We start from the raw sequence: 11,371 nt of genomic DNA, 5'->3' as shown, positions 1-11,371 counted from the left end.
TCATGCCTGTAATCCCAACACTTTGGGAGGCTGAGGCAGGCGGGTCACGAGGTCAGAAGATCGAGACCATCCTGGCTAACACCCCGTCCCTACTAAAAATACAAAAAATTATCCGGGCGTGGTGGCACGCGCCCGTAGTTCCAGCTACTCAGGAGGCTGAGGCAAGAGAATTGCTTGAAACCAGGAGGCGGAGCTTGCAGTGAGCCAAGATGGCGTCACTGTACTCCAGCCTGGGCGACAGAGTGAGACTCCATCTCAAAGAACAAAAAAAAGGTAAGATGTTTCCTCTCTCGTGTACCCCCAAAGTCTGGGGTCCTGGCCCATCTTTGTGAAAAGAGGGTCTGTTGGGCTTCTGTGCTGGGGAGGGGAAAAGGCAGGGGAACAGAGAACTTCTCCCTTGGCCCACAGCCTCTTGCTCTATAGGCCTGACAGATGGTTAAACCTCCTTCTTTCACAGTCAATTTTCTGAGTTCTTCGGAGATGCTCTTTATTTGGGACTCCTCTCCCACAGTTCCCATCCTTGTGACCCTTCCTCAGTCCCAAGGAATGTGGCATTCACTGCCCAATCATTGCTGCCTGGGCTCTGTGCTCCTCTAATGAAGGCCCAAGATGACCCCCCACCCCTGCCTCTGCCACTTATCCTGTGGGGTCTACATGGGCAAACCTCCAATATCCCTTGCCCCACCTCAGCAGAGGTGTGGCCCATCCCATTGCAGCCCCTTCTGCCCCACTCACGATGGCGGGGTGGAGTCAGGCTCTGGCTGGCTGAGCCTCCTATGGTGGAAAGCACCACTCATCTTCCCCATGGTCTCATGCCCACAGGCTTGAGGGGAAAGAAGTGGGGTGAGAACTCACAGCGAGGTAACAGGTCTCTACAAAGAAAATCTCTCCCCTAACTCCTCCCCAGCATAACGTGTTAACTTGTGGTGGCTCACGCCTGTAATCTCAGCACTTTAGGAGGCCAAGGCAGGAGGACCGCTTAAGGCCAGGAGTTCAAGGCCAGCCTGGACAACATAGTGAGACCCTGTCTTTACAAAAAATTAAAAAGTCAGCCAGATGTGCTGGTACATGCCTGCAGACCCAGCTACTTGGGAGGCTGAGGCAGCAGGATCAATTGAGCCCAGGCGGTCAAGACAGAGTAAGACTCTGTCTCTAACCAAAATACCCCGAAACAAAAAACAAAAAACAAGACCCACTTTTATTATTTATTTATTTTTTTGAGACAGAGTCTCACTCTGTCGCCCAGGCTGGAGTACAGTGGCGCCACCTCAGCTCACTGCAAGCTCTGCCTCCCAGTTTCAAGCAATTCTCTTGCCTCAGCCTCCTGAGTAGCTGGGACTACGGGCGCATGCCACCACGCCCAGATAATTTTTTGTATTTTTAGTAGAGACAGGGTTTCATCATGTTAGCCAGGATGGTCTCAATCTTCTGACCTCGTGATCCGCCTGCCTCGGCCTCCCAAAGTGTTGGGATTACAGGCAACAGCCACTGTGCCTGGCCTATTTATTTATTTTTGAGACAGGGTCTCACTCTGTTGCCCAGGCTGGAGTGCAGTGGCCCGATCTCGGCTCACTGCAACCTCTGCCTCCTGGGTTCAAGCGATTCTCCTGCTTCAGCCTCCCAAGTAGCTGGGACTACATGCCTGTGCCACCACCCCCAGCTAATTTTTGTATTTTTAGTAAAGACGGGGTTTCACTGTGTTGGCCAGTCTGGTCTTGAACGCCTGATCTCAAGTGATCCACCTGCCTCAGCCTCACAAAGTGCTGGGATTACAGGCGTGAGCCACCACGCCCGGCCACATATTTTCCATATTTATTTATGTATTTATTTTTTGAGATGGAGTTTCACTCATGTTGCCTAGGCCGGAGTGCAATAACATGATCTTGGCTCACTGCAGTCTCCACCTCTTGGGTTCAAGAAATTCTCCTGCCTCAGCCTCCTGAGTAGCTGGGAATTCAGGTGCTCACCTCCACAGCCAGCTAATTTTTCAATTTTTAGTAGCATGTTTACCACGTTGGCCAGGATAGTCTCAAACTCCTGACTTCAGGTGATCCACCTGACTCAGCCTCTCAAAGTGGTATTTTCCATATTTAAAAAAATGAACATTAGTTGAGGGTTCAGTCAGTGTGAGGTTTAAAGGTATAGGGATGGGAGGACAGGGTGGGCAGGACCAGGAAAGCAGGGACTACCAGCAGCTCCACCTGGCCTGGACCACATCTCTCTCTGTTGACTGCCTGCCTATCCTCACAGCCTCATTCTGCCAGATTCTCTTATAGGCTGTGGCCACAACAATAGGAGTATGGATATTAGGCTTTGGGAGGTGAGGAAGCTGCTTGTTTTGCTGCCCAGCATCTGACAAAGTTCAGAATGCACAGGACAAGCTGTCAGGCAGAGGACAGGGGAAGGGGGCAGTGGGGAAAACAGACAAGATTGTGAATCCACCTGCTAGGCCTAGGGGCCAGCCACACATAGATTCCCCCACTCAGCTATGCAGCTCCTTGGCCACATCTGTGTGGGCCTCAAGGACGAGTTCTGCCAACCACTGGCTCTACTCCTGCCACCTGTCCCTGGGGGGGCAACAACCTTTCACTCAGCCCATATGGGAAGCACTCGTGCCAGGCCAGATACCATGATGAGGTGCCCAGGATACATGTGTGCCCCATCTGATGCTCACATGGGGCACAGGGGATGTTGAGTGGGCAGCCACGTCAACCACGTAGTCCTGGTACAGTATCATCTTTTCTGAGAATCAGCCTTTTCTCAGAAAGCCTGGTTGTTAATTGCCTGAGTCTCTTAGCAGAGTTTTCATTCAGGTAGTCCTGGTACAGCATCATCTTTTCCAAGAATCAGTCTTTTCTCAGAAAGCCTGGGTGTTATTTGCCTGAGTCTCTTAGTAGAATTTTCTTAAGAACATTCCTATGTATCTTGGTTGAGTAAAGGGAAGGATGTCGTGCTGTGGAAAGAGCATTGATCTCTGAGTCTGACTGATGTAGGCCCCAACAGCCTGGGCTTGGTGGCTCACGCCTGTAATCCCAGCACTTTGGGAGGCCAAGGTGGTGGATCACCTGAGGTCAGCAGTTCAAGATCAGCCTGCCTAACATGGTGAAACCTCATCTCTACTAAAAATACAGAAATTAACTCGGTGTGGTAGCACATGCCTGTAATCCCAGCAACTTGGGAGGCTGAGGCAGGAGAATCATTTGAACCGGGGGGGTGGAGGATGCAGGTTGGGATCACACCACTACACTTCAGCCTGGATGACAGAACCAGACTCCATCTAAAAAAACAAAAAACAAAAAAAAACAAGATGTAGGCCCCAAGCTCACTTAGTCTCTTACCATCCATGTGTCCCAGAAGCCCTTTCTGAGCTTCATTTGTCCCATCTGTAAAACAGAGCTAACAACGACTAATTGTGAGGGTTGTTGTGAGGATTAAACAAATTGCTGTTGAGTGGGCGGGACTGCACGGGGCACACCACAGCGTGGTGGAGATTGTGATGTCTGTGTAATTCCCCATATCTGTGGCTCTTTTATTGCTTAAGGAGGAAAGTTGTAATTATAAAACATAGAATAATTTTTTCCTTTTTTAAAAACATTAACTTAAAGCAGCAATTTATAAAAGATTTAAAGCAAAAATTGACCAAGGCAATTTATAAAAGAGTGTGCATAAAGTGTATTATTGGGCCTGTAACCTGTAGAAATTTAATATATTTGCCAGTGACAACACAAAGGAGGTGGGTGGAAGTAAGCTGCATTGGGCTAACAAAATGAAAACAGTAAAATAACAATCATACAATGTATTTTCGGGTTTGTAACATTAATAGATGTAAAACATATAACAATAATACCACAAAAGGGTGAAAAGTGAATAGGGATATATAGGAATAATGTTTCTATATCTCACTGGAATGAAGCTAGTAGAGATAGGGCCAGGCACTGTGGCTCACACCTATAACCCCAACACTTTGGGAGGCCAAGGTGGGTGGATTGCTTGAGCCCAGGAGTTCAAGACCAGCCTTGGCAGCATGGTGAAACCTTGTCTGTACTAAAAATAGAAAAAACAATTAGCTGGGGTTGGTGGTGCACACTGTAGTCCCAGCTACTTGGAAGGCTGAGGTGGGAGGATCACCTGAGCCCAAGAGATGGAGGTGGCAGTGAGCCGAGATCATGCCACTGCACTCCAGCCTGGGCAACAGAGTGAGACCCTGTCTCAAAACAAAACAAAACAAAACAAAACAAAACAAAACACCTCTGAAGCTGATTCTCTTTAGGTAAAATGTATATGGTAAGCCCTAAAACAACCACTAAAAACAACGACAACAACAAAACTAAAAATATACAGTGATATTAATTATTAAAGAAATTTAAATACGTCACTAGAAAATATTTACTTAAAACAAAGAAAGCGGTAAAGGATAAATAGAAGACAAAAAAGACACGAGACACATGGAAAACAAGAAGTAAAATGCCAGCAGTAAATCCAACTATGTCAGGAATAACATTAAATGTGAGTGGATTAAACAATCCAGTCAAAAGGTAGAGACTGTTGGATTCGATTTTTTAAAAAATTTTATTTATTCATTTTTTGGAGACAAAGTCTTGGTCTGTCACGCAGGCTGGAAGTGCAGCGGCACGATCTTGGTTCACCACAACCTTCGCATCCTGGGTTCAAGTGATTCTCCTGCCTCAGCCTCCCGAGTAGCTGGGATTACAGGCATGTACTACCACGCCCAGCTAATTTTTTTTTTTTTTTGTATTTTTAGTAGGGATGGGGTTTCACCATATTGGCTAGGCTGGTCTTGAACTCCTGACCTTAAGTGATCCACCAGCCTTGGCCTCCCAAAGTGCTGGGATTACAGGTGTGAGCCACCACACTCAGCCCAGATTGGATTTATAAAAAAGTCCCCTATATGCTGTCTATAGGAGACAGACTTTAGAGTCAAAGATACAAATAAATGGAAAAGAAGAGACTGGGGAAAAGTATATCACGGAAACAGTAACCACAAGAAAGTTGGAGTGGCTACGCTAGTATCAGGCAATGTAGACTTTTAAAATATTACTAGAGATAAAGAAGGGTATTTTATAATGATAAACATGTCAATCTATCAGGAAGACATGCAATTATAAACATATATGTACCAGATAACAGAGCACTAAAATATATGAAGCAAAAAGTGACAGAAGTGGCCAGGCATGGTGGCTCATGTCTGTTATCCCAGCACTTTGAGACACGAAAGCAGGAGGATCACTTGAGCCCAGGAGTTTCAGGCCAGCCTGGGCCACATAGTGAGATCCTTTCTCTACAAAAAATAAAAGGAAATTAGCCGGGTGTGGTGGCACATGTCTGTGGTCCCACTTCAAGCAAAACAATCTTGAAAAGGAACAAAGTAGAAGAACTCACACGTCCCTACTTCAAAACTTATGAGGAAGAAATGCTATGAAGAGAGTGTGGTACTGGGCCGGGCATGGTGTCTCATGCCTGTAATCCCAGCACTTTGGGAGGCAGAGGCAGGCGGATCACGAGGTCAGGAGATCGAGACCATCCTGGCTAACACGGTGAAACCCCGTCTCTACTAAAAATACAAAAAAAAAAGAAAAAGAAAAAAGAAAGAAAAAAAGTAGCTGGGTATGGTGGTGGGTGCCTGTAGTCCCAGCTACTCCGGAGACTGAGGCAGGAGAATGGCGTGAACCTGGGAGGCGGAGCTTGCAGTGAGCTGAGATGGTGCCACTGCACTCCAGCCTGGGCAACAGAGTGAGACTCTGTCAAAAAAAAAAAAGAGAGAGTATGGTACTGGCATAAGACAGATATACAGAATTGAGAGTCCATAAATAAACCCATGTCTCTATGGTTAACTGATTTAATTAGTTTATTTATTTTCAGAGATGGAGTCTCACTATGTTGCCCAGGCTGGTCTTGAACTCCTGGGCTCAAATGACCCTCTTGCCTCGGCCTCCCGAAGTGCTAGGATTACAGGTGTGAGCCACCGTTCCTGGCCAAGGTGAACTGATTTTCAACAAGGGTGCCAAGACCATTCAATAAGGGAAAGAATAGTCTTTCCAACAAATGATGCTGGGAAAACTGGATCATGCCACATGCAAAAGAATAAAGTTGGCTCAGGTGCAGTGGCTCACACCTGTAATCCCAGCACATTGGGAGGATCGCTTGAGCCCAGAAGTTTAAGACCAGCCTGGGCAACAAAAAGTAAAAAAGATGAGCCAGGCATGGCGGCATGTGCGTGTAGTCCCAGCTACTGGGGAGGCTGAGGTGGGAGGATTGCTCGAGCCCAGGAGGTTGAGGCTGCAGTGAGCTATGATTGTGCCACTGCACTCTAGCCTGAGCAACAGGGCAAGATCTTGTCTCAAAAAAAAAAAAAAAAAAAAAAGAGAGACCCTTATATCACACCATGTACAAAAATTAACTCAATATGAATCAAAGTCCTAAATGATGTAAGAGCTAAAACTATAAAACTCTTAGAGGACATAGAGGTAAATCTTCATGGTTTACTGACATATTCTTAGATATGATACCAAAAGCATGAGTAACAACAACAAAAATAGGTAATTCAGACTTCATCAAAATGAAAAACTTTTGTGTTGCAAAGGCCACTATGGAAAAATGGAAAAGACAACCCACAGAATGGGAGAAAAGATTTGCAAATTATGTGTCTGATAAGGGACTTATATCTGGAATATATAAAGGTCTCTTACAATTCAACAACAAAAAGACAACTTAATTTTTTTAAATGGGCAGAGGATTTGAGTAAATCTTTCTCCCAGGAATATAAAAAGAGCCAAAAAGAACACGAAAAGATGCTCGACATCATTAGCCATCAGGGAAATGCAAATCAAACCAATATTAGACACTACTACTTCACACCTACTAGGATGGCTAGAATTAAAGAGTCAGATAATAAGGCCAGGCATGGTGGCTCATGCCAGTAATCACAGCACTTTGGGAGGCCAAGGCAGGTGGATCACTTGAGGTCAGGAGTTCGAGACCAGCCTGGCCAACATGGGGAAACCCCGTCTCTTCTAAAATTATAAAAATCAGCTGCGTGTGGTGGTGGGCGCCTGTAATCCCAGATACTTGCCAGGCTGATGCAGAAGAATTGCTTGAGCCTCGGAGGCGGAGGTTGCAGTCAGCCAAGACCGTGCCATTGCACTCCAGCCTGGGTGATAGAGCAAGACTCTATCTTAAAAAAAAAAAAAACTCAGACAATAAATTTTGACAAAAAAGTGAAGAAATCAAAACCCTTACAGATCGCTGGTGGGAATATAAACTGGTGTAGAAAACAGTGGTTTTAGAAAACAGTTTGGCAGTTCCTCAAATGATGAAACATAGAGTTACCATATAACCCAGCAATTCCACTCATAAGTGTACAGTTGACCCTTGAACAATGTGGGTGTTAGGGGCGTTGACCACCATGCAGTTGAAAATCTGCATGTAACTTTTGACACCCAATAAACTTTACTAATAGCATACTGTTGGCTGGAAGCCTTACTGATAACATAGTCATCGATTAACACTTTTTTTGTTTGTTTTTTATTTTTGACACCCAGGCTAGAATGCAGTGGCACGATCTCGGCTTCACTGTAATCTCCACCTCCCAGGTTCAAGCAATTCTTCTGCCTCAGCCTCCCAAGTAGCTGGGATTGCAGGTGCCCGCCACCATGCCAGGCTAATTTTTGTATTTTTGTTTCCCAGCTTTATTTTGCCATGTTGCCCAGGCTGGTCTTGAACTCCTGGCCTCAGCTGACCTGCCCACCTTGGCCTCTGACAAACTCCAGGAGCCACAGTCCAGGCCCAAAAGACAGAGGGGACTCATGAAGGCATCTGAGGGAGAGCAGGGCTGGCCCCTGTCATCTCCCTGCGGGCTGTCCAGCCCCAGTCTGAAGCCACTGCCTTGCAAAACCCCTCCTCTGGGCCTCCCTTGCTGGCCTAACTAGAATCCCAGTCCCCCCACCCAAGTCAGCCCACTAGACCCCAACTCCAGCACCTGGAAGGCCACCCTAGACACAAGGGCACATTCTGGAGGGGAAGGACTTGCAGTTTGAAGGCCAGTAAACTTGGGTGTGAGTCCTGCCTTTGTTCTCACTGTGTGGCCTCAGGCACGGTACTGCCCCTCTCTGATTCTAATTTCCTCATCTGTAAGGTGGGGTCCTCTCGGAACCCCAGAGGACGGCCCAGAGGCCTGCGGGAGAGGCCGGGTGTGAGTAAGCTTGAGCTCAGAGGAGAGCTCAGTGGGTGGCCGGGAGAAGCCTGGACCTCACCCCTACCCGCACCGCCAGCGATTGCCTTGTTTCCTGGGGTCCTGGTCAAGGTCTGAAGAGTGGGAAGGGGCCAGCTTGGGGGCAGCAGGGAGGGGCAACGTCACCCGAAGAGAGGCTCCAGTGGCAACGATGCCCCAAAGTGTGGGAGGTCTGGGGGTGATGGGAAGGAAGGCAGGCAGGCTAGGGCAGGGAAAGAAGGCCATGTGGGTGCCACTGCAAGAACCAGAGCTGGCGTTCCCCTGCCAAGTTCCTTCCTGTTCTTGGAATAGCCTTCCCGGAGCCTGGGCAGGCTGGACTGGGAACTGGGGTGGAGGCTGCGGGGGCGTGCAGAAGTGGAGATGGGGGGTGGCTAAAACCCAGGAGGTGGGGCTATAGACAGACTGGGGAGGAACTTGAACATGGCTTCCCTGAAGTCCCCAGGGAGGGACACAGACTCTATATGACACTCAACCTGCCATTCAGAGCCTCCCAGGGGTCCACCGACCAATTCTTTTGGGCAGCTACAGGCTCAGAAGTTATTTATTTACTTAGAGACAGAGTCTCACTCTGTTGCCCAGCCTGGAGTGTTGTGGCTCAATCAGCTCACTGTAACCTCGAACTCCTGGGCTCAAGCCATCCTCCTGCCTCACACTACTACAGGTGTGAGACACAACATCTGGCTAATTTTTAAAACTTTTTGTACAGATGGGGCCTTGCGATGTTGCCCAGGCTGGTCTTAAATTCCTGGCCTCAAGCGATCCTCCCACCTCGGCTTCCCAAAGTGCTGGGGTTACAGGTGTGAGCAACTGCCCCTAGTCCCAGAAGTTATTTTAAGGTGGAAGAGACTCATGCCAATATTATGATGCTCCCTGACATACCCCAATTCTTCCATGTTTGAGTTGTAGTCGAGGAGCCATATGATTTTTTTGGACATTGCGAGCAGAGTGTTTATACCTGTGCCAGGGAGCACTTATTTAGCACTGGCTGTGTGTCAAGCACGACTCTAGGTGCTTCATGGCTAATGATGTTTCAGTACTCACAGCCAGACCTGGGAAGGGAGTCACTAACCTTACTCTCATTTTACAGATGAGAAAACTGAGGAACAAAGAGGATACACAGCTTACTCAAAGATACACATCTGTGGTCGAGTGCAGTGGCTCATGCCTGTAATCCCAGCACTTTGGGAGGCCGAGGTGGGTGGATCACTTGGGGCCAAGAGTTAGAGACTAGCCTGGCCAACATGGTGAAACCCCGTCTCTACTAAAAACAAAAATTATCCAGGTGTGGTGGTGGGCGCCTGTAATCCCAGCTACTTGGGAGGCTGAGGCACAAGAATCATTTGAAGCCTGGAGACAGAGGTTGCAGTGAAGCAAGATCACACCAATGCACTCCGGCCTTGGTGACAGAGTGAGACTCTATCTCAACAAAAATAAAAAATAGAAATAAAATAAAGAGAAGATACACACCCAGTAAATGGTGGAACTCGTAGGAACCCTATCCGTGAGCGTGTGTGTGTGAGACTGTCGGGTTGTGTGAGTAACTAAGGTTGGCCTTGGGTAGATACTGGAAGCATCTGCTAGGACCTCATCCTGTGGCGGGGTCCAGGTGTGCACGTCTGATCCTGCAGCGCCCCCTGGTGCTCACACTCCTGCACTGTTCACTTGGCCCTTCCTGTGGCCCTTCCACTGGGAGGCTCCCGGGTCCACCAGTCCCTGTCCTGCAGGGCCACGCCTGTCTGAGTCTTTGGCTTGCTCCCTTCAGCTCTGCATGGCTGCTGGGTCCTAGGGCATGGAGGGGCCTTCAGGGAGCCTCAGGGAAGAGAGAATACAGAGGCATGAGGCCTGGAATCCCCTCTGCCTGGTAGGTCATATCCCCCGACCCCTGGGGCAGTACCAGACATTCTCCTCCCTCCCTGGGTGAAGGATGCCCTTGGCGGAGAGGGCTGGAGCTAGGACAGGGTCTGAGGCCTCAGCAGCCGGCTTGCCCACCCTCTCCAGGGCCTGCTGGTGTTGGCGATACCCAACCTGGTAACACCCCCCCGCTACACTCCCATGGCTGCCCTGTGGGGGCCACCATCAGGCCCAGAGGAAGAGGCCTCTTTGTACATCCAGTGTGGCCCACACCAGACCCCTGATTTCCGGGTCCACTCCTGCTTGCCTTAAGGCTGCCCTATCGGGGCTTCTTTTCCCCAACCTCTGTGTCTGGTCAGTCGCCCGGTCTTGTCTGCGGACTCTAAATCTAGAGCCCACCAGTGCCTCTCCATCCACCTGGCAGCCCACCCTGGTCCCCTCCCTGTTCTCCCTGCTCTCCCCCTCCTCTCCCCCCTCCCAGCCACCCTCCTCCATACAACAGGGCTTCCATGAGCGTCAAGTCCATGCCGACCCCTGTCGCAGCCCACAAGTCCTCTCACGTCTGCTCTTTGCTGACCTCTCCAGCCCTGCAGAGCCGCGATTCCTCCACACATTGCATCCTTCAGGCCTTTGCTGCTGTTGTTCCCTCTGCCAGGCACGCCCTTCCCCCGCTCCCCACCCTTCCAGTCTTCTACGCTGGTCTGCACGGTTGAGTAACCTCTGTTTATTCCTCGGGTCTCAGCTGAGATGTCCCTCCTTCCCTGTCTCCCAAGTCTGGGCTGGTCTACGTCTCTGTGTCCTCACAGCCCTTCGTGTCCCAGTTACACACTGTATTATTGGGGCCTGTTTTGTTTTGTTTTGTTTTTGAGACAAGGTCTCACTCTGTCACCCAGGCTGGAGTGCAGTGGCGTGATCTCGGCTCACTGCAACCTCTGCCTCCCGGGTTCATGTGATTCTCCTGGCTCAGCCTCTCTAGTAACTGGGACTACAGGTGCACACTAGCACGCCTGGCTGATTTCTGTATTTTTTAATACAGAGAAGGTTTCGCTATGTTGGCCAGGCTGGACTCGAACTCCTGACCTCAGGTGATCCACCCGCTTCGGCTTCCCAAAGTGCTGGGATTACAGGCGTGAGCCACCGTGCCCGGCCAGGGCCTACTTGTCAAGCTCTACCAGCTTGTGGGGATGAACTTCCCTGGTGGAAGGAAGTGGATGAGAATAGCAGGACTTCAGTGGCACGTGGAGAACTTGGACTTGTCTTCAGGGAGACAGG

Source organism: Homo sapiens, chromosome 16, assembly GCF_000001405.40.
Source record: "Homo sapiens chromosome 16, GRCh38.p14 Primary Assembly".
Classification (NCBI taxonomy): domain Eukaryota; kingdom Metazoa; phylum Chordata; class Mammalia; order Primates; family Hominidae; genus Homo; species Homo sapiens.
The sequence above is the reverse complement of the archived record's forward strand: the minus strand, read 5'-3'. Positions refer to the sequence as shown.